This window comes from Homo sapiens, chromosome 20, assembly GCF_000001405.40.
Source record: "Homo sapiens chromosome 20, GRCh38.p14 Primary Assembly".
Classification (NCBI taxonomy): domain Eukaryota; kingdom Metazoa; phylum Chordata; class Mammalia; order Primates; family Hominidae; genus Homo; species Homo sapiens.
This window is the reverse complement of record NC_000020.11, coordinates 61,982,974-62,005,475: the sequence shown is the minus strand read 5'-3', so window position 1 is coordinate 62,005,475 and position 22,502 is coordinate 61,982,974. Positions and strand designations below refer to the sequence as shown.

Below are 22,502 nucleotides of genomic sequence, written 5' to 3'. Positions count from 1 at the left end.
AGCCTGTGGGCAATCATTTTCTTGCCAAGTTTTGACCTCTGGTGCTTAGTCACACACAAGCAGCATGGGTGTTTTTAGAATTAGGTGCTGTGTTTGGCAGCAGGATCACCTCTGCATTCTGCTTCCCTGGGCTCCTCCTGACCACGTGTGAGTCTGCAGAGCACAGCCAGTGGGATCCAGGGCATCCAATCCATTGCCTGCACCCTGAAGCCTGTGGAGGCAGAACCCAGGCTTCTCCCTGATTCGATGACAGGCTCCCTGCACCGCAGGGCCTGGCCCGGGCATTTGATGGCAGGTTCCCTGCGCCGCAGGGCCTGGCCTGAGCATTGCCTGAGCTGCCTGAGGCTCTTCCTGTCCAGTGTGGGTGTTCCTGTTTCGTTGGAGACATGTTTGCATTATAGGCCGCTTCCCCAGGTCCCCACACATGTTCTGCAGCATAGAGTTTACCTGCCAGGGCACCTTTGCAAAATGGTAGCGACTAAATTCTGAAGCACCTGGGCCCAGAGGTTTGAGGCCAGGCCTTATGGACTTGAGCATTGGCTTTTGACAAGGATGCCAGTGTCTCTAGGCCCCAGCATCCTGGGGACAGGGCCAGAGCATAGGCCATGGTCAGTGCTGCCAGGTTTTGGATCTCTGCCTTGTGCCGGAGGTGAGAGTGAGAGGCAGGATGACAGCAGAGCTGGGCAGACCCTGCCACGAGGGGCCCAGCAGGGGCTGGGCGGACAGAGCTGGCCATGCTGGGAGCAGTGGGTGGAGGCCCTTGAGGGCCAAGTTCAGGCAGGACTTAGGAACTCTAACCCCACTCCAGTAGAAAAGCCCTCAGCCGCCTTACAGAAAATTCAGAAAGGGAGCTGGGTTTGGTAGCTCATGCCTGTAATTCAGCACTTTGGGAGGTCAAAGTGGGAGGATCGCTTGAGCCTAGGAGTTCAAGACCAACCTGGCCAATGTGGTGAAACCCCATCTCTACAAAAAAAAAATTACAAAAATTAGCCAGACATGGTGGGTGCCTATGGTCCCAGGTGCTCGGGAAGCTGAGGTGTAAGATCACTTGAGCCCGGAAGGCAGAGGTTGCAGTGAACCGAGATCATGCCACTACACTCCAGCCTGGGCGACAGAGCGAGACTTGTCTCAAAAAAAAAAAAAAAAAGAAAAGAAAAGAAAAAAGAAAATTCAGATGAGATAGAACCACTTGACCTGTAGCCACCAGGCAACAATGTCACCTCTGCTAATATTTGGGGGGCAGTGGTCTGCTCCATCCTGGGTTGCTGAGGTCAGCAGGCATCAGTTTGCCACCCGCCCCCTCCAGGCCCTGACCAATGCCCAGGGGCAGCTTCTAGGCAGCAGATCTGCTCCCGCTTGCCCCTTCTGTGCTCACACGGGCACCCCTCGCCCACGTCCTGCCCTGGTCTGGCCGAGTCCATGGCCAGAGCATGGTCCTGCAGCCTGCTGGGGCTGAGCTGCACACGGGGTCTTCCTAGGACTTCTTACTGGGGGCGTGGGGTGCAAAGGAAGGGAAGGGAAGAACCTCCTGCTAGGGACTGAGTGGCCCCTGGCCCTCGGGGAGCATGCTCACCATTCTCTGCTGGCTCTGCCTCAGGTCATCCAGCAGCCTCCGAAGCCAGGAGCCCTGATCCGGCCCCCGCAGGTGACGTTGACGCAGACACCCATGGTCGCCCTGCGGCAGCCTCACAACCGGATCATGCTCACCACGCCTCAGCAGATCCAGCTGAACCCACTGCAGCCAGGTGAGGGCCTCGCGGGCCCCTGGCCGCTCAACACCAAGGGCTGCTCCCAGAGCCAGCTGCCATTGGGCTTTTATTTAATTGGGTAAAATGTACATTTACATAAAATTGGCCATTTTAAGTATCTAGTTCAGTGGCACTGATTTCATTTACTGTGTTGTGTAACCATCACCACTGTCAGTATGATTTTTAATTTTATGTATTTTCCATGGTTAGCTTCTTTATCTGTAATCATTCCTGCACTTTAAAAACCTTGATGAAATACAGGAAAATAAATGCTCGAGAGGTACAGCTTACACTTTGTACTGTAATTTAGAGTTATTAATATGAAGTTTTTGGAAACTTTCTTGTAGCTAATTAGGAGAGTGGTAGCTGTGCCCTTGAGCCTGTAAAGCACCAAAGCACATAGTTGATCTAATAAAAGCCTTGTGTGGTTTCCACTGTGTGTTTGTTTTGTAGTCCCTGTGGTGAAACCCGCCGTGTTACCTGGAACCAAAGCCCTTTCTGCTGTCTCGGCACAAGCAGCTGCTGCACAGAAAAATAAACTCAAGGAGCCTGGGGGAGGTTCGTTTCGGTAAGGAATGGGCCTGTGTACGTTGGAGAAGCGTGGCCAGAGCGGAGAAGAGTCCAGAGTCCGTGCTGCTCCATTCCCGCCCACGGGTCTTTCCCACGTGGCCCTGGCGGCCGGGGCTCCAAGGCTCCTGCTTCACGCTCACTTTGACCTCACGTTCACACAAGTGTGTTTTCCCATACAGTTGGCTCAAAGAGGTTTTGCTTCATACACATAGCCAGAAAGCGAATCAACTGATTATTTTTATATGAACTAATAGGAAATTCATTTTTTAGTATAACATCGTATTTTGAGTTCATTGCATTCCTAGTATAGAATGCTTCACTTTCCATGTATTCAACTTCAGAACCCTCAGAAATGCTGTACTGCTCCAGGCGTAGTGGCTCACGCTTACAGTGCCAGCACTACAGGAGGCTGAAGTGGGAGAATCGCTTGAGCCCGGGAGTTTGAGACCAGCCTGCACAACATAGTAAAACCTTACTCAACAACAACAAAAAATAAAAAATTAGCCAGGCTTGGTGGTGTGTGCCTGTGGGCCTAGCTACTTGGGAGGCTGAGGCAGGAGGATCACTTCTGCCCAGGAGTTCAGTGTTACAGTGAGCTATGGTTTTAGCAGTGTACGCCAGCGTCGGTGACAGAGTGAGGCCCTGTTTCTAGAAAAATAACTGCTGTGCTTTGCCTGGGCCTCCTGGAAAGCAGGTGGTCTGAGCATCACCTCAGTCAGGGAGGTGCTTATGGGACCTGAGCAGTGGGAGAGTCTTGGAGTGATCTCTGTTGTGATCAAGGGGCGGTGGAGTTGTGTGTATTTCAGGAAGTCTTACTGTGAATTTTCCCTTTCCCAGACACTTCATCCCTAAAGGCATCAGGCAGGGCATAGCAGGCCTGGGGAGTGGCTGTGGCCTGAGCCAGAGTCCCAGCCCAAGCAGGGAGAGGTGGCCAGCATGCCTGGGCCCAGCGTGACGCTGATACTTCAGTGAGAAGGGAGGGCACTTAGGGACATACACGGGTGAAAGAATTAATCAAGGCTGCAGGAAGCCTTGGTATTTTGCTGTCAAGGAGTCAGCGGCCTGGCAGAAGGGATAAAGGAGAGTGACCCCTGTGGGCTGGCTCAGGATTGGAATGCTGACGCAAACCCCTGGGTTTCAGTGTGTCGGCAGGCATGGATAACCATGGGTCTTGCCGTAAGTTTCTAGCTTTGTTCACCGCAGGGTCCTGGGAACAGTAACGCCCCAGTAACACTGAGCACACCTAGTGTTCAGATGTTGTCTTCTAAAAACCGTTTTCCACTAAAATGACAAGGACTCCTGAGAGAAAAGGCTGATTGCGGGACTGGGATAAGGAAATACAAGATGAGCGGAGACCGTCCTGTGTCAGAGAGCAGTGGACATGGGCATGACGTGGACGTGGATGTCAGCAGAGCAGCCTCCCTCCCATGGCCGGGTCCTTCAGCTGGAGCCCTAAGCTGTGCAGCCCAGCCACAGCCCGTGACCACCAGGGATGCCAAGACCCTGAGTGAGCACCTGGAGCCCATAGGAGGACTGGGCATGAGAACTGCTGTAGAGCTCTTCCCCGAGACACAACGACCCCAGGAGACGCCAGGCAGGCCCCCGGCCTCACGTTCAAAGCCCACTGCTGGAGGCGGCAAGTGGAGGCTGCGTGCATGTGGAATTCCCGGCAGGACTCTTAGCTCACATCTCCTCACGAGGGGGCCGAAGTCAGCCTGGAAGAGGACGTCCTGCACACAGCTGGCCTGTGCCTTCCAGGTGTCAGGGGCAGCCCAGGAGTCAGGAGAGGCTGAGGAACCTTCCAGCTTGAGGAGCCGGACAAGACGTGGCAGCTGGGATTGGGATGCAGACTGTCCTGCAGGGAGAGGCGCTGCTGGGACCGGGTCCTACGGGGGAGGGCCTGGGGAGGGGCCATTCATCATGGCCCGGTCTCAATGGCATCCTGCTTCTGGAGGGGATGCCCTTGTCTGTAGGAAACACGTGCAGAATGTTCCGGGTGGAGGAAAGTCAGGTTAGCAACTTTCAGGTGATTCAGGAAAAAATTGTGCGTACTCTTCTTCCAACTTCTGAGCCTTTAAAAAGAATTTAATGCTGCCTCTGGCTTTAAAAAGCTTTGCATAGATCAGACCCCCACAAGTCCCCGCGCTGCTCCCGGCTTTGCTTTCTCTGGACTTGAGTCCCCTGCGCATCTGTGTGTAGATGTTAACCCGGCGCCAACTCACAGCTCTCCTTCCGCAGAACAATCGAGCTTTCCAGGAAAGCAGCGAGGCACCCTCTCTGCTGTGGCAGATGCAGCAGGTGCAGGTGCGGGGAGGACAGAGGCCTGGCCTCCTCACGGCCCTGCCTTCCACGTGGGGTTTCCTGCCCTTACCACCCCAGCCCACCTCCCGATGAATTCCTTGTACAGTTAAAGTGATCTTCCCTTCTTTCCTCAAGGGACGATGATGACATTAATGATGTTGCATCGATGGCTGGAGTAAACTTGTCAGAAGAAAGTGCAAGAATATTAGCCACGAACTCTGAATTGGTGGGCACGCTAACGCGGTCCTGTAAAGATGAAACCTTCCTCCTCCAAGCGCCTTTGCAGAGAAGAATATTAGAAATAGGTACGTTGGTGTTTAATGACTGAGTTCTTATTAAACAGCTGCGCTGCTGGGGCATGGGAGCTTCAGGTGAGCACACCTGACACCTGGTCATGTGTTTTGTCTGAGTTTGTGATTTCCACATGGTTGCTGGTGGTGGTTCTTGGGTAAAATATGGGTACCACTGCCTTCCACCCCACCAGCCTTTCTGGGCTCCCCTTGGGTTGTATAAAAGCAGTAACTGCTGGATCAGAGATTAGCCGTAAAGAAAGAACTGTGCTTAATGATTTTAAAATACTGTTTTTCTTGCCTGACCTTTAGGTAAAAAACATGGTATAACGGAATTACATCCAGATGTAGTAAGTTATGTATCACATGCCACGCAACAAAGGCTACAGAATCTTGTAGAGAAAATATCAGAAACAGCTCAGCAGAAGAACTTTTCTTACAAGGTAACAGGCTGTTTGCCGAGGAGAGCGTCTTTATGTTGTTGGCCCCCACTCTCTGCTGGCTGGGAGCCTCCTCCCCACACCGAGGCAGAGGGCGGTGGGTCCCAAGTGCCTCCATGTTCCTTACGAACGTGTTTTGGATTTCTTATAGGACTAGATTTTGGAAAGATTTCTTTTTGAGGTAGGGTCTCACTCTGTTGCCCAGGCTGGAGTTCAGTGGCGCAGTCTTGGCTCACTGCAGCCTCCGCCTCGTGGGTTCAAGCGATTCTTGTGCCTTCGCCTCCCAAGTAGCTGGGATTACAGGCGCACACCACCGTGCCCAACTAATTTTTGTATTTTTAATAAAAGGGACAGGGACTCGCGATGTAGCCCAGGCTGGTCCTAAACTCCTTGCCTCAAGTGATCCTCCTGACTTGGCCTCCTTAAATGCTGGGATTACAGGCATGAGCCTCTATGCCTGGCGGGTTTACCTTTTGGAAGGCACCTGCCTCTCTCTCTGGGCCATGGGCTGAACTGGCAGACCCTGAGGTGCCGCAGCCCTATTCTCATGAAGCAGCTCTTCCAAGTAAAACGTGCCTTCCTCACCAGCAGTCACATATGAACACTCTTCCAAGGGCACACTGGGTGAGGTGGTGCCTGCTGCCACAGCCGGGAGGCAGTGCCTTCAGGGCAGCACTGAAATAAACACACTTAGCCCTTGCTGTAAAAGTAGTTCTGTGTTGCAGCAAAAAAGGTAAATGTTACTTTAAGAAATCTGACAGCATCAAAGTGTATAAAAGGGACACTCTCCCACAAGTGTGCCCCTGAGACAGCCAACACGAGACTTCGTTCTGTGGACGTGAGCATCGATAGAGCTCTCGGGCGCAGCATTTGCAGGGTGGGAGGGATCGGGTCCTCGCCGCATTCAGACTGGACGGAGGGAGGGCGTTGTGCACGGATGGTCCAGTGGTGCTAGACAACCCCTTTGCTTGCTGGGCTCTCAGATTTATGACAAGCAGTATTTTAACTTTCTTCATAGGATGACGACAGATATGAGCAGGCGAGTGACGTCCGGGCACAGCTCAAGTTTTTTGAACAGCTTGATCAAATCGAAAAGCAGAGGAAGGATGAGCAGGAGCGGGAGATCCTGATGAGGGCAGCAAAGGCGAGTGCTGGGTGTCTGCTGCTGCCGTCTGGGCACCTCCGTCTCAGCCACAACCTGATGAGCTCACTGAGACAGTGGGGTTTTGGGTGGTCAGAGCATGTTTTGGGCTGGCCTTGAAGCAAAGGTGATGGGTGCTGTCAGTGGAGCTGCAAAGAGAAGCCTCATTCATTTGGCACTAGCGTAGATGCTTGAAAAGCGGGGCTTCTTAAGATTCCCAGCACCTCACGCTCCACACAGTCACACCCAGGTGTGAAGCACATGTTCCTAGAGCCCCCTGTGTGCGCTGGACTGGACTCTTCACACTCACGTTGTCCTTGTTCTAGAACATTCACAGCCAGGCGAGGCACTGCTCATTAATAGAATCAGACAGGAGACCACAGTTCCCCAGGGACGGGGGTGGGTACTGTGGAGTGGGAGGAGCACTTGCTTTGATCACAGCCACAGGCTGTCCCGTCCCTGGTGTGTGGGACAGGACAGCAAGGAGCCTATGAGGCCCATTCTGCCTGCCATCATGCGGTCACATCAGGTCAAGTCAGAGCCTGCGATTGGTAGATGTGTTTCAAAGACTGTATCTTACATCCAAATGTTACTGACTTTTCTCAAGATTACTGGCTTTTTTCATGGTGTGTGATGTAAATTTTCATCTTTGGCTATAAGCATTTCACAAATTTGCTATGCATTCTTTAACATTACCTAGATGTTATTGTATAGTAAATAAGATAACACATTTGTTAAATGATAAACATTTAGTTCATAACTTACTTTTCTTTTCTGCCTCTTTCAAAAATAGTCTCGGTCAAGACAAGAAGATCCAGAACAGTTAAGGCTGAAACAGAAGGCAAAGGAGGTGAGCCCTGTTAGTCGTGAGTGCTCGTGGGCACTTTGCTGTGCACTGTAGCGCCCCACGGGAGGGGGGCTAAGGAAACCGTGGCACTTCTGTACGATAGGCATTTGCGTGTCTGTTTAAAATGTTTGCCAAGTTTAAATAAATACAACATCAGAGGTATTTTCCTGTGCAAACAGTTGGTGTCCTACTTTTAAATTCAACGGTGACTTCCCTTTGCGGGGGGCATTAGTCTCTGTGCTTTTGACTTGCGTATATTTTCTGAGAGTTTTAAGACAAACATCTGTTGCATTAAAAAAAATCTTATTTTTTGGATTATAGAATATGCTTACTATTGAGAAAGTCAAAACATTAAAGAAGTTATGATTTAGAAAACTACAGAAAACCCTTTCATATCTATGTATTACTTTTGTAGTAAGTAAAAAACATGCAAGAAATGATGCTCCTTGTCTCCTTTTCAAAATAAAAGATGCAGCAACAGGAACTGGCACAAATGAGACAGCGGGACGCCAACCTCACAGCACTAGCAGCGATCGGGCCCAGGAAAAAGAGGAAAGTGGACTGTCCGGGGCCGGGCTCAGGAGCAGAGGTACGGCAGTGTTGTGGGATCGAGGTCCTGGGGGAAACATGGGGAACATCTTAGAGCCACCCTCTTCTAGGGGACGGACACACATAGGGGAATTTGCTTTCTTACCATTTACATTTTGTCTCACCTTTTCTGGAGTATTTGTTTTACGTTTGACATTTTAAATCCAAATCAGCTTATTTGTGGCTATCACTTGAGCTGAAAGTCTTTTTCGTGAGGAAGTTTGATTACTGTGATGAGGTTTAGGCTGGATTTGAAAAGGATGTGGGGAAGTTATAACTGTCAGAAGAATGATCCGAATAGGGATCTTGCTGATTGTGCTTCCTGCACAGTGTCTGTGGGATAAGCTGCTGTAGGAGAATGGACAGTTCGTGGAATGAAGGGGAAGAATTGCTGCCCGCTGCTGTTTCTCCAAATTCCATTAGTTTCTCGTCTATGTTTGTGGTTGTATCTTTTAGTCTAATAATTATAAACCCAGCCTTGACATGTTATTTTTGCTTTCAACTGTCAGTTGTTTTTTTTTAAGTAAATTACAGGAAGAAAGAAAACGGTCTTTTATGTTTCCCTCCTTATTTGCCATCTCCGGTACTCTTCATTCCTTCCCGTGGGTCTGTTTCCGTCTGCCACCATTTCCTTTTGGCTTGAAGGAGAGCTGTTGGGATTTCTTGTGGTGCAGATCTACTGGTGATGGATTCTCTGGTTTTGTTTACTTGAAAAATTGTATTTCACCCTCATTCTCTTTTTTTTTTTTTTTTTTGAGACAGTCTTGCTCTGTCGCCAGGTGGGAGCGCAGTGGCGTGATGTTGGCTCACTGCAACCTCCGCCTGCCAGGTTCAAGCAGTTCTCCTGCCTCAGCCTCCCGAGTAGCTGGGACTATAGACGTGTGCCACCACGCCCTGCTAATTTCTGTATTTTTAGGAGAGACGGGGTTTCACCATGTTGGCCAGGATGGTCTCGATCTCTTGATCTCATGATCTGCCCACCTCGGCCTCCCAAAGTGCTGGGATTACAGGCATGAGCCACCACGCCTGGCCTTCACCCTCATTTTCAGAGGATATTTTTACTGGTTACAAAATTCTGGGCTGATTTTTTCTTTCTTGCGAAACTTTCAAGACCTTGTTCCACTGTCTTCTGATGTCCTGCTGTAATTTTTAATTTTTAATTTTTTTAGACGCAGGGTCTCACTGTGTCACCTAGGCTGGAGTGCAGTGGTACGATCATGGCTCACTGTAGCCTCGACATCCCCGGGCTCAGGTGATCCTCCTGCCTCAGCTTCCCGAGTAGCTGGGACTACAGGTGCGTGCCACCATGCCTGGCTAATTTTGTAGTTTCTTTTTTTTTCGTAGAGACAGGGTCTCACCATGTAGCATGGGCTGGTCCTGCTATAATTTTTAAGCTTGTTCCCTGTACGTGGTATGCTTCATGTCTCTGGCATGACTTTCAATCTTTGTTTTGAGATGTTCTTTATTTTTTAGAGGTTTGTCTGTGTTGTGTTTTGCTGTGGTTCTCTGGATATTCAGTTTAGAGGTTTGTCTGTGTTGTGTTTTGCTGTGGTTCTCAGGATATTCAGCCTGTTTCAGGTTCTCTGAACTTCACAGATCTGTAGGTCAGTGTCTTTCATCAAATTTGGAACATTTTGGCTAATACTTCTTCAAATTTTTTTTTTTTTTTTTTTTTTTTTTTGAGACGGAGTCTCGCTCTGTCGCCCAGGCCGGACTGCGGACTGCAGTGGCGCAATCTCGGCTCACTGCAAGCTCCGCTTCCCGGGTTCACGCCATTCTCCTGCCTCAGCCTCCCCAGTAGCTGGGACTACAGGCGCCCGCCACCGCGCCCGGCTAATTTTTTGTATTTTTAGTAGAGACGGGGTTTCACCTTGTTAGCCAGGATGGTCTCGATCTCCTGACCTCATGATCCACCCGCCTCGGCCTCCCAAAGTGCTGGGATTACAGGCGTGAGCCACCGCGCCCGGCTCAAATTTTTTTTTCCATTTCAATCTTACTTTCTTCTGCTGGGGCTCCAGTTACATGTATGTTAGACCTGTTGATGCTGCCCTGCAGGTCTTTGAGCCTGTGTTCCTGGACTTCAGTCTGTCTTCTCTTTGTTTTCCAGACTGGAAGATGTCTACTGATGTGTCTACGAGGTCCTTGGCAGATGGATTTCTGCCATCTCCAGTTGAAGTTTCCATTTTGTTAACTTATTTTGCAATTCTAAGATTTCCATCTAGTTCTTTTTTACAGTTTATATTTCCCCTAATTCTTTGAGCTTATTATTAAAGCTGTTTTATAAGGTTTTTGTCAAGTTCAACACCTGGGCCATCTCACATTCAGTTTCTCTCGACTGCTGTTTTCCTCGGCCTTGCACACTTTCTTGTCTCCTTGCATGTCTCATGCTTACCTGCCAAGAGACTGGACTCTGTGATCTCCCTTGAAGAGTTGATTCTTGCAGGCGGTTGAGTTACTGGCTGACCATCTTGAGTTTGTGTGGTTTTGTTTTTCATTTTGTCAGTAAGGATCTGGGGAAACCTCAAGGTGTTTCTCAAGCCCCTTTAACTTAGTGGGACTCAAGTTGCAAACTCTGTCTTTCCTGTCTGGGTTTGGCTTTAGGCTTTGCTAAGGTAGGTCTTACTCTAGGGTGTGATCCTTACGTACAAGGAAAGGTCTTGTTACTCGGGCAGGCTGGACTCCCATGCTTCTGGACTGCCCTCTACTCTGCCCGACCCCTGACTTCTCTGTTTCGCTCTCAGCCCCGTGGCAGCTGCTGTCTGATGCACATTGGCTGGTCTTGCACCGCTTCTTGGTATGCAGGTGCACTCTGGGACAGGGTCAGGGTAGTGACCTGATGAGGACAGAGCTCCCCCTCCCCACCAGGACTGTTGGAAATGTGTGGGTGGGATGTCCCAGACCTCCGTGCTGGGGCTCGCCTGCCCACATGCTAGCAGTGACCTCTGAGAAATGGCTGCCTGGTGTGGAGAGGAGGGACTCCAGGTGTAACAGACACTAGAGTTTTGGCAATATGGCATCCCAGAGGTTCAGAGAAATCCCTCCTGGGACAGTACAGGTTAAAATGTCTGGTACAATGTAGGAAGAAAATAAAGATCTTGTCTTTATAAATGCGTGTGTGAGATATAGATAAAATAGGGGGATTCTTCTCTGGGCCAGAAATAAGTAAGTAAGTACAGATTCCCAAGGCTAACACGGGCTCTGGCCACTGTGTGGCTGGGAGTCTTGGCCCGGGATGGGCCCCAGCAGGAACCTGCACTCACCTGGGCCTAGGCCTGAGTGCCCACTGGCTGTGAGGCCCGCAGCCCACGCTGAAAATGTAGTTGTATACCAAGAAAGAACTGAAATTCTGAACAACAACAACATATATCGAGAAGAGCACTTAGAGTTAAGGACTTACTTTTTTGTGGGGGAGGTGAAAGATATTGATTAGCCTTTTTTTTTTTTCCTGGATTTCTTTTATGGTTAACTGAATTCTCAAAGGCATAGATTTTGTAGCCCATCATCAGTTCGAGAACTAGAACGTTGTAATCCCAGCACTTTGGGAGGCCGAGGCGGGTGGATCATGAGGTCAGGAGTTCGAGACCAGCCTGGCCAAGATGGTGAAACCCTGTCTCTACTAAAAACACAAAATTTAGCCGGGCGTGGTGGTAGGCACCTGTATTTCCAGCTACTCGGGAGGCTGAGGCAGGAGAATCACTTGAACCCTGGAGGCGGAGGTTGCAGTGAGCTGAGATTGTGCCACTGCACTCTAGCCTGGGTGACAGAGCGAGACTCCATCTCAAAAACAAAAAACAAACAAAAAAACCAAACTAGAACATGCCAGTCACCTGGGAGATCCCCCACCCTTTTATGTGCCCCACCACATCACAGCTGCTTTTACCTCCCTCCAAAAGTAACTGCTGCCCTGACTTTATGGCAAAGCCAGGAAGAAACGCCAGGACCTGCCAGTCCCCAGTTGTGCAGCGAGACACTGGTTAGCCTTGCCGTCCTTTCCCATTAAACTTGACTTAAAAGGAAACCAGAATTTAACATTTTTAAAAATCTGTAGGGCCCTCCCACCCCTCCATCACTTTCTTTTTCTTACAACTTGTCGGTTGAAGGACCAGGTCGTTTGGCCTGGGGTGTGTCCTGCGTCAGGATTGCTGGCGGTGCCCTTGTGGTGCAGTTCTGCCTGTTCCTCCCTCCTCTGAACTTCCTGCGCGTTGGTGGCTGGACCCAGAGACTCCTCCAACTCTGGCTGCCTCCCTGCGGCAGGACGCTGGCTGCTCTTGTGTCCCCTCATTGCGAGGACACGGGTCTGGGCTGTGCGCCCCGGGGACGGTGGCTGGTCATGCTTCATGCCTAGGGCCACTAGTCCCTTGAGGTTGGAGATGGCGGTGCTCTTAGTCTGTGAGTTCCTTCTCACTTCCTCTTTGGGGTGTTCTTTTGGAGACTCTTCCTCCACTACTGTTTGGCCGCTTGGTGGGTCCAGCTCATAGAGGAGACGCAGGGTAAACGCGAGCATGTTTTCTTCCATATATCCAGGTGAAGATAATGGATCAACAGGTTGTCACCCTCAGAGGGTGACCAGTAGTTTTACGTTTTAGTGTGTTGTTTTTATTTTTTACCGTTGTGATCTCAAGGACTTGCACATAATCCATCTATTACAGTTCTCATTTTGGTTGCAGTTCAGACTGTGCCATCTTTGGCCAATGGAAGCATCTCCAGGTTGGTTCCTGAGTCACGCTGGGACGTGGGGCTGATGTCCTTGCCGTCTGGACGTTAACATGTGTCAGGCTCACCTTACACCTTTCCTGTTTCAGACCGAAAAAGTCATTTCTCCAAGAACTGGTTTCTTCTAGTGGGAAATGGCGTTTGAAGACCACTCGCTGGGACTAGGGATGTCATTGCTGCTGGGGTGGGTTGGCCTTTTCAGTGGACAGCACTGGGAAATGTGTGTAAAACATGGTCTCATGGGCTTATATGGGTATTTCCAATTCAGGTAGTTCAAATTCAGAGGTGTAGGAGTTACCATGTTCAAAATGACGTCTTTATCTTCACAGTAAGAATTCTGGCTCTTGGCTGCCCCAAGGGCTTGGGGGGTGGGGAATTGGAGGGGAGGGCAGGAGAAGGAGAGATTAAAATAAAAGGATCCTGGTTATGGACATAGGAGATAATAGAATTAAAATATCTCCTACCTTTGGACATAGCCTGAGAATAAGAATATGGGCACTCCTGCCGAGGGTGGTGAAAACAGCCGAAAGTTGTTCATGTGCTTTCTCCCTTGGCCCCGTTTTGTATTTTGTGCTGTATTTATGTTGTCGAAACATTTAGCTGTTACACACCATAAGCTCTCCCTTTCGCCCTCTTTGAGTTTTAGTGCCATAAATAATGACATGTTTAATGCCGTGACTCGTCTTTATGTTGTGTCTCTGTAGTCATTTTGATTTTTCCAAATCTCATTCTCTGCTAGATTCTTTTGGAACGCTTCATGGGAGCAGCCACTCCCAAGTTCCCACCTGCTGATGAGTTTGTGCCCTTTGTACCTGAAGGTCTGTTTTTTGGCTCACGTTGTATTTACTGAAGTGTCTTAAGGATGTTACTCTGGATTATTTCCTCCCTAAAGTGTTACTGTCCAAATCTAATGAGAGCCTCATTTTACCTCCTGTAGGCCACGTGTTTTTCTTCCCTGGGTGTCCTTTTTCTCGGAAGCCGGCTCATCCCACTGGAGTGCGTGCTGGGCTTGGTTGTGCTGGGGTGGTGTTCTCAGTACTGGCTGTGTTCTTTCAGTGCGGTTCAAGTCTCCTTAGGAACATCTGCAATAATGATCCTTTGTGTTTGTTCTGTTCTTTTGTTTCTTTCTTCAGAGAGTCCCATTTTCCACGTGTTGTATCTTCTTTGCCTGCTGGAGCACTTTTTACAGTCTCTTAATTTTTAAAATCTCTCTCTCTCTTTTTTTTTGTTTTTTGGTTTTTTAGAGACAGGGTCTCTCTCACCCATGCTGGAGTGCAGTGGTGTGATCACAGCTCACTGCAGCCTCGACCTCCAGGGTTCAAGCAGTCCTCCCACATTGGCCTCCCTAAATGCTGCTGAGCCACTTGTGTCCAGCCTAATTTCTCTCTCTCTTTTTTTTTAATTTTTATTTTTTGAGACAGAGTCTCCCTCTGTCACCCAGGCTGGAGTGCAGTGGCTCTATCTCGGTGTGATCTCAGCTCATGGCAACCTCTGCCTCCTGGTTTTCTTCTGCCTCAGCCTCCTGAGTAGCTGGGATTACAGGTGTGCACCACCACACCCAGCTAATTTTTTTGTATTTTTAGTAGAGACAGGGTTTCACCATGTTGGCCAGGCTGGTCTCAAACTCCAGACCTCAAGTGATTTGCCCGTCTCAGCCTCCCAAAGTGCTGGGATTACAGGTGTGAGCCATTGTGCCTGGCCTAATTTTTCTCTTTTTTAAAAAATTATCTTTTTTGTCCTTTTTGGCTTCCATTTCTCTTAAGGCGTGATTTGCTGTTTACCTGCTGTTTTGAGTATGTGTTTCTGAGGTCTTCTGTGGTCTGTAGGGATGCTCTTCTGCTTTTTATCCTCTTTTTCTCTCATGGGAGCCTGTCTGGGATTTGACCTGAATGTCTTTCTGTTGCTAATTTCGACGTGAGTTTAGGTTTCTCGAACTTGTAACAGGACACGTGGTTTGCAGCGTTTGCTGACTTTGTGGTGCTCCTCTGTGGTTACTTTCCCGTGATGTTAAGAACGGGAGTCCTCAGCGTCTGTGGCTCCGGGGCTCTGTGCACCTCCCAAGCATCTGGACTTTGCTTTGCCTTCCTTGTCCCTGTCCTGCTCAGTACTGATTCACTCCCAGCAGGTTCTCTCCTGCGTGAGGCCCTGTGCTGCAGGAGCCCTGGCAGGTCAGTGTGGGCATTTGCGGTGGCCAGGCTGCCCTCCCTGGTCCTCCCCTGCCCCAGGTTTGACTGCGGCTCTTGGAGGGACCTGCTGCTCTTCCCAGGAAGTCTGCTGGCTCCTGGGTCCAGGCCCGTCGGGGTCCAGTTCTGCAGCGTCCTTCAGGTGATGGCTGCTTGTGGTTCATCTTCATCAGTTTTGTTCTAAAGATTGTCCGCTGGCTTTTGGTTTTGCTGTGTCGTTGCTCTTTTATGTGGAACTTTGGGAAGATCCAGAAACTATGCTACCCCTGTCATCGTCTTCCAGAATACATTAACTTTGAAAATTACTTATTTTAGTTTGAAGTAGTTTTCAAATCTACAGAAAAGTTGCAAGAACAGAGTAAGGAGCTCCGTGCAGACTCCGGTGTATGAGCATCACGCTGTCTGCTTCGTCCCCGCTACACCACATGTGTTTGCGTGCACTCCTGTACTTTTTCAATATGTACACTTTAATCCTTGTTCTGACACGATACCCAGCACCCTAAATGCTCGTGCGGCTGATACCTTAGGTGGCTACTAGGCAGCCCTCCTGGTCAGGTGCTTAGCACTGATGCTACCACCCCCAGCATAGCACTTGCTGTGGGCTGTGTTTCTCCACAGCGTCGTGGCCGATTCCCATGGCCGTGTTAGCATTTCACACGTTCCCACCTCACACAGATGCCCCACCCTTATCGCACCTCCACCCACAGCCTCAATGTTATTAACCGCCTGCCTGTGTCGCCACCCCTGGGGCTGCTCAGTCGTGGGGATGCTTCAGGCACCCCTTCTGTTACTGCTGGTTGCCCTCTGCTGGGAAGCAGAGCTTCGCCCCTCCTCGTTGGTTTATTCGTTCGCTCATGGATTCGTTCACTCACTGCAGTGCTGTGGATGCCAGGGTCCCTCATTCACTCACTCACTGCAGTGCTGTGGGTGCCGGGATCCCTCATTCACTCACTCACTGCAGTGCTGTGGGTGCCGGGATCCCTCATTCACTCACTCACTGCAGTGCTGTGGGTGCCGGGATCCCTCATTCACTCACTCACTGCAGTGCTGTGGGTGCCGGGATCCCTCATTCACTCACTCACTGCAGTGCTGTGGGTGCCGGGATCCCTCATTCACTCACTCACTGCAGTGCTGTGGGTGCCGGGATCCCTCATTCACTCACTCACTGCAGTGCTGTGGGTGCCGGGACCCCTGTTGTGTTTGGTGGGCTCTGATCAGCACTCTCATTATTTCTAGGCTTGCTTGGTGGGAGCTTCTTGTGGCTGGAGTCTGTATCCTTTGACACTTCCCTCGTCTGTGGCATTCCTTATTGCCACGTGCACTTTCCCTGCCCACTCTGCAGCTTCCCCTGGTTCCTCTAGTAGAGTCTGGTGTTGAGAGGCCAGGATCGGGGCACTTGGTGTGCTGATTGCTGGGGCCCCTGCTCCCAGGCCGTGCCAGCAGCCAGAGCTCGGGACCCAAATGCATGTAGGGGAGTGTGTGGTGTGCGCCCTTCCATGTCGAAGGGGTCCTGTGTGTTCGTGTTGAGACTACGGTCCTTGCCTAGCACGCCAGGGCTTCCGTTTAGCCGCCCCCATCCTTGTCTATTGGTCCCTTCTCAGACAGTGAGGAACCTGGTTCCCATCATTCAGTGTATTTGTTTTTTTCTTCCGTGTAACCAGCTTCCCAACCATTTTACCTGCTGGGGTCGCGGCGCCAGGAGGGAGGATTGGATGGGAAAGGCACATTGATGAACTTTGGATGTGAGTGTTAACGTGTGTGGAGTAGCCTCTAGGGAAGAGTAAGGGAGCTCGTGCGTCCTCACTCATGAGAAGGGCCGGGGTGTGGGGCTGGGAGGTACGTGGAGTATCGAGAACGCCGGACCTGGAGGACCCAGGTGAGGCACTGCCGAGTGGGTGAAGATTGGCGCCGGCGTCTGTTTGGGGAGCAGTTGTTTCGCAGTTGTTTCGCTTGCCTTTTGTGAACTTTGGGGATCTTTGTGTGTTATCTGTGTAACAATTCACACAAAACCCAGAAAGTAAAAGTCCTTCAGACACCTTTCTTCATCAAAGATGATGCTCAGTCATTCTTTTCTTCTTGTAGGATACCTCTTAAGGGTAAGTCTTCTTTTTTTAACTTTTACTTTTGAATTCTATACTTACAGGAAAGTTACAGAAATAGTACAGAGAGTTTCCATCTACCCCTCACCCAGTTTAGCCTCATGTTAAACGTGGGTATGATACTGTTCATTGAAGACCTTATTTGATTTTTTCCCTTAATTTAACTTTAAATAAATTAATAAACTATTTTTTAGAGCAGTTTTAGGTTCACGGAAAAAGGAGGGGACTTTTTTAGTACAGAGACTTCCCATACCCTCCTCCCTGCAGGTGCACAGCCTCCCCCGCTTGGCCGGGTGGTGCGTTTGTTAGAATCCATGAACCCACGTCAACACGTCCTTCTCACCCAGCTTCCATAGTTCCCATCAGGGTGCACTCTTGGTGTGTACATTCTGTGGGTTTTGACAGCTGTAGAATGACGTGTTTCCACCAGTACCGTATCATGTGGAGTCGTTCCACAGCCCTGAATTCCTCTGTGCTCTGCCCGTTCATCCCTCCCCTCCTGTCAGTCCCTGGTCCACGGATCTTATTGTCTCCTAGTTTCGCCTTTTCCAGAATATCATGTGGTTGAAATTATGCAGCCTTCTCAAACTGGCTTCTCTCATTTAGGAATATCCACCTGAGGTTCCTCCGTGTTTTTTCATGGCTTGATGGCTCATTTCTTTTCAGCACTGAGCACTATTCCAGTGTGTGGCTGTGCCACAGTTTATTTTATCCACTCACCTACTGAAGCACATCGTGGCTGCTTGCAAGTTTTGGCAATTATGAAGAAAGCTGGTATAAACATCTGTGCGCAGGATTTCGTGTGGACATAAATTTTCAGCCCCTTTGGGTAAATACCAAGGAGCACGATTGCTGGACCGTGTGGTAAGAGCACGTTTAGTTTTGTAAGAAACCGCCAGACTGTCTTCCAGCAGCCGCGCCATGTTGCCTTCCCAGCAGCCACGGCTGAGGGTCCTGTTTCTTCACATCCTCGCCAGCGTTCGGTGCTGTCCGTGTTCTGGGTTTTGGCCGCTCTAGTAGGTGTGTGCATCTTGTTTTAATTTGCATCTCCCTGGTGACGGAGGATGCGGAGCAGCTTATTGTTGATATTGTTGAGTTTCAGGAGTTCTTGGTATATTTTGGATAATAGTCCATTATCAGATGTGTCTTTTGCAAATATTTTCTCCTTATTCGATTCTTACCAGTGTCCTCGACGTCCTTTCCTGCCCCGGGACCCTCGCGGCTCCTCGGCTCCTTGGTCTCCTCTGCTTGGTGGTAGCTGCTCAGTCTTTCCTGGTCTTTGATGGCCTTGACGTGCTGGAGAGCTCTGGTCCTTGTCTGGTGGACGTTTCCTTAGTTTGCGTTTGTCTGGTGTCTCCTCGTGATGACGTCCAGGCTGTAGAATCTCAGTTAGAATGCCGCGGGCCGGCTGGCGTGTCCTCAGAGCACTGGATTGGGAGGCAGGTGGTGTCGCCTGGCTGTTGCTGCTGCTGCTGCTGACTTTGAAGCTTGGTTAAGGTGGGGTTGGCTGGTTACTCCATTGTCGAGTTACTCTTTTTCTCTGTGTAATTAGTAGGTATCTCAAGGAGACACTTGGAGGCTGCTGATACCATTTCTTATCAGGCCTTTGGCCCCTGCGTGGGCATTCGCAAGGACGCTGCCAGTGGAGGCTGCTGTGGCGTCTGATGCTGACTTTCTATTTCTGTCTTTCTGTTTACATTTATTAATTGGAATTCTGTAAAGAGAGCTGCCCCGTCTCCCTTATTTTTCCCACTTGTTAATTCATTCAGTTACTTACTTATATTAGCATGGATATTTATTTTTTTCTGTAGGTAACAAGCTGCTGCTACAGTTTATTTATTTTGTTGCTTGAGCAGCCCGGCTCTGGCCATCATGAGCTCCTTCAGGTTAGTTCCATGTCCTTGTGACACGACAAGAGGATTTGGTGACTTTATGACACCACAGAATGTTCCAGCACATCTTCTGTTTTCCATGATTTCTTGGAGGGGCATTGCTTCCTTTGACTGGGGATGGTGTTTCCTTTGATGGGGGATGGTGTTTCCTTTGGTTGGGAATGGTGTTTCCTTTGATTGGGGATGGTGTTTCCTTTGATTGGGGATGGTGTTTCCTTTGATTGGGGATGGTGTTTCCTTTGGTTGGGGATGGTGTTTCCTTTGATTGGGGATGGTGTTTCCTTTGATTGGGGATGGTGTTTCCTTTGATTGGGGATGGTGTTTCCTTTGATGGGGGATGGTGTTTCCTTTGATGGGGGATGGTGTTTCCTTTGATGGGGGATGGTGTTTCCTTTGGTTGGGGATGGTGTTTCCTTTGGTTGGGGATGGTGTTTCCTTTGATTGGGGATGGTGTTTCCTTTGATGGGGGATGGTGTTTCCTTTGATGGGGGATGGTGTTTCCTTTGATGGGGGATGGTGTTTCCTTTGATTGGGGATGGTGTTTCCTTTGGTTGGGGATGGTGTTTCCTTTGATGGGGGATGGTGTTTCCTTTGATTGGGGATGGTGTTTCCTTTGATGGGGGATGGTGTTTCCTTTGATGGGGGATGGTGTTTCCTTTGGTTGGGGATGGTATTTCCTTTGATTGGGGATGGTGCTTCCTTTGGTCGGGGATGGTGGTTCCTTTGGTCGGGGATGGTGCTTCCTTTGGTCGGGGATGGTGGTTCCTTTGGTCGGGGATGGTGTTTAGAACCATACTCTGGGCAGCAGGTGTGCTCATTGCTCCTGGGGTGTCCCTGCATCCAGGCCTTCCAGGTGGACTGGGGCATGTGCACACACACAAACACTCGTCTGCACCTGCACCTGTGCTGAACACAGCGGCCTTCTCACTTCTCCTCAGGCCTCAGGATCTAGTCTGACGTCACAGGCTCATTCTAGCTTCCCTCGTGCCTTACATGGGAACCTGGTTCTCATCCCCCACAGTAGATGTACTTCTGTGTTCAGTTCCAACATACAGATAAAGGACCTTCGGGATTGCCAGGCAGTGTGAGAAACAAACGTGCTAACTACCTGGAGTGTAGCATTTCTGTGCGGCCCTTTTATTTAACCTCACAGGTCAAAATAGTACATTTCAAATTTACATAGATGAGTATTGTTCTTGTTTATCCTTTCATTTTTACTTTTTATGTTTAAATTTTTATTATTTGTTTTTAGAGATGGAGTCTTGCTCTGTGTCCTGGGCTGGCCTGAGGCTCCTAGACTCCAGCAATCCTCCTGCCTCAGCCCCCACCAGGAGTTGGGACTGCAGGCACACACAACCAGGCCTGGCTTCCTGCCCACCCTTCAGTGTGGCCGTCATTCACCTGCAGCACAGCTCGGGTTTAGTCCCTCAGTGTGGCCGTCACTCACCTGCAGGACAGCTCGGGTTTAGTGGTTACTGTTTGTGTTCCTGTTGGTTTCCTCCAAATCTTGGTTGATTTTTTGTTTGTGAGAGGTGGAGCGTTGCCATGGTCCGGAGAGTCAGAACTGTACAAAAACGTATAGAAAGAAGTGCCCCTTGGAGTGGTGTCCTGCCACACCCTCCACCCATCCTCCCACCCCCTGCCCCGTCCTCCTGCTGCGCCCTCCCTCCCCCCACCACATCCGTCCTCCCCCTTCCGCCCCCTCCCACCCCCGCCACCCCTGCCCTCCTCCCACCTTGCTCGCCCTCCTCCTGCTGCACCCTCCCTAGTCCTGCTGCACCTTCCCTCCTCCTGCCCTGTCCCCGTCCCTCCATTTTTGCATCCCGTTTCTACTCACCATGCAAACAGATGAGCTCCTGCATCTTTTTCCTTCCCTGGCAGTGCAGCACAGGTCAGTGACAGTCTCTCGCTCTCTGCAGCTGACAGAGTTCCCGGGCACTGCCCTCGTGTCACTGCATCAGGAGCTTCCTCTTTCCCAGCTGGGTGCTGATGTCCCGGGCACTGCCCTCGTGTCACTGCATCAGGAGCTTCCTCTTTCCCAGCTGGGTGGCACTTCATCGTGCTGATGTCCCGGGCACTGCCCTCGTGTCACTGCATCAGGAGCTTCCTCTTTCCCAGCTGGGTGGCACTTCATCCTGCTGATGTCCCGTAGCTTTTCACCCTCTCTCGTGTGCACATCTGGGCTGTCGACACGGTGACAGGTGATGCCATCAAGAGTCGCCTTGTACGTGTGTCTTCGTGCTGTTGGAGGCCTGCTGTTGGGGCTGAGTTCCGAGAGATGGGATTGCTGAATTGAGGGGTTGGTGCGTGTGCACTTGTGTTAGGTTTTGCCAAGTCCCCCTGTTGCGTGTGAGAGAGGCAGCTCTTTCCCCAGCCTCACACGTGTCCCACGTGTGTTGTCATAGTTCTTGTGTTTGCTGGTCTGGGTGGTGCAGTCAGCGTCTGTGGGTGTGCTGTGGGTGCGTAGGGCTGAGGCACGTGATGAGCGGGTGGACATCCCCGAGCCGCTCCTCAGTGATGAGGTCGCTCAGTCTTCCGGCTGCTGGCTTAGTTTTGTCCACTTGACCTGTTCTGCGGCAGGCATGCTGTTCCATGACTGCTGCTAGCATGTTTCTGTCTCGTCGCATCTCCTGCGTTTTTATTGGTAGGGGCTGCTGTGTTGTTTGGTGCATAAATATCCACGTGTCATATCTTCATTGGCAGCTGTGACTTTTTGCATTAGAAAGTATCTGTCTTTGTCACACGTCAGACCGTCACCCTGGGTGTCTTTCTTGTCCCCCAGCCTACAATCCCTGAGATCCTTACTTTTCACCTTCTGAATCACTTTGTTTTCCGTGTCTCTCTGTAGCATATGGTTTGGTCTCAGTTTATGAGCTGAATTGAAAATCTTTCTCTTTTAATAGGTGAGTTAAGCCCATTTACCTTTATTGATAGGACTGACATGTTTTGTCTTGACTCTATCATAATATTTTATAATTATGTAAATTTTTATCTATCTTTTGAGACATGGTTTCACTGTCACCCAGGCTGGAGTTTGGTGGCGTGATCATAGCTCACTGCAACTTTGACTTTCTGGGCTTAAGAAGGATCCTCCTGCCTCAGCCGCCCCAGTAGCCTGGGACTACAGGCACACAGCACCGCATCTGACTAATTTTTAAAATATTTTGTAGGAATGGGGTCTCGTTATGTTGCCCAGGCTGGTCTTAAACTCCCAGCCTCAGGGAATCCTCCTGCCTTGGCCTCCCTTTTCAAAGCATTGAGATTACAGGTGTGAGTTGCCGTACCTGGCCTGAATTTTAAATATTTGCTGTGTTTCTTTTTCTGTGAGATGTTTATTCTTTGCTCTTTTAATTGATTTTTTTTTTTTTTTTGTATTTAGGAAGGTTTGTATCTGTGTCTTCCTGGTTACTTTTGTACTTAAACTAGTGACGACGCCCTGGTCTCCTGTCTCACAGGACTGTTCACGCTGCAGTCGAGCAGTTTGCACGGGCCTGGCAGCTCCACTGTTGGCCATCGGCGTCTGTGAGCCCTAGTGGCTTCTTCCTCTGCCTTTTGGTGACAGGACCTCCACAGGGGAGGCACACTCTGGTCCTCAGCCTCCCTCTCCCGCCTCCGCCTCACTCAGAGCCTGAGGATGTCTCTTCCCTGCAGTTTCCCGCCCAATAGAGGAGGCTCTTCCTCCCATTCCTG

General features: G+C 50.1%; 2 protein-coding genes across 3 annotated transcripts in view, besides 3 other annotated features; both read left to right on the top strand.

Moving 5' to 3' along the window:
- Positions 1–22,502, top strand: part of TAF4 (TATA-box binding protein associated factor 4) — a 91,084-nt gene that overhangs the window by 60,406 nt on the left and 8,176 nt on the right. For both annotated transcript variants that reach the window (NM_003185.4, XM_047440429.1), the window contains 7 exons: positions 1,598–1,745; positions 2,202–2,316; positions 4,755–4,924; positions 5,222–5,352; positions 6,368–6,493; positions 7,284–7,340; positions 7,807–7,926. In NM_003185.4, coding sequence (NP_003176.2) covers positions 1,598–1,745; positions 2,202–2,316; positions 4,755–4,924; positions 5,222–5,352; positions 6,368–6,493; positions 7,284–7,340; positions 7,807–7,926 — 867 coding nt within the window. The remainder of the gene's footprint in view (positions 1–1,597; positions 1,746–2,201; positions 2,317–4,754; positions 4,925–5,221; positions 5,353–6,367; positions 6,494–7,283; positions 7,341–7,806; positions 7,927–22,502) is intronic.
- Positions 1,105–1,605: an enhancer, noted in NCBI's record as "H3K4me1 hESC enhancer chr20:60578927-60579427 (GRCh37/hg19 assembly coordinates)". NCBI's record gives its function as "activates a minimal SCP1, AML or CMV promoter by ChIP-STARR-seq in primed H9 embryonic stem cells {active_cell/tissue: H9 hESC(primed)}" and the evidence as "EXISTENCE:reporter gene assay evidence [ECO:0000049][PMID:30033119]".
- Positions 1,606–2,106: an enhancer, noted in NCBI's record as "H3K4me1 hESC enhancer chr20:60578426-60578926 (GRCh37/hg19 assembly coordinates)". NCBI's record gives its function as "activates a minimal SCP1, AML or CMV promoter by ChIP-STARR-seq in primed H9 embryonic stem cells {active_cell/tissue: H9 hESC(primed)}" and the evidence as "EXISTENCE:reporter gene assay evidence [ECO:0000049][PMID:30033119]".
- Positions 2,848–4,748, top strand: LOC105372704 (uncharacterized). The gene is made up of 2 exons (XM_011529123.2): positions 2,848–4,329; positions 4,557–4,748. Exons 1-2 carry the CDS (start codon positions 3,663–3,665, stop codon positions 4,727–4,729), a joined length of 840 nt encoding a protein of 279 aa, XP_011527425.1. The 5' UTR covers positions 2,848–3,662; the 3' UTR covers positions 4,730–4,748.
- Positions 15,223–16,185: an enhancer, noted in NCBI's record as "H3K4me1 hESC enhancer chr20:60564347-60565309 (GRCh37/hg19 assembly coordinates)". NCBI's record gives its function as "activates a minimal SCP1, AML or CMV promoter by ChIP-STARR-seq in primed H9 embryonic stem cells {active_cell/tissue: H9 hESC(primed)}" and the evidence as "EXISTENCE:reporter gene assay evidence [ECO:0000049][PMID:30033119]".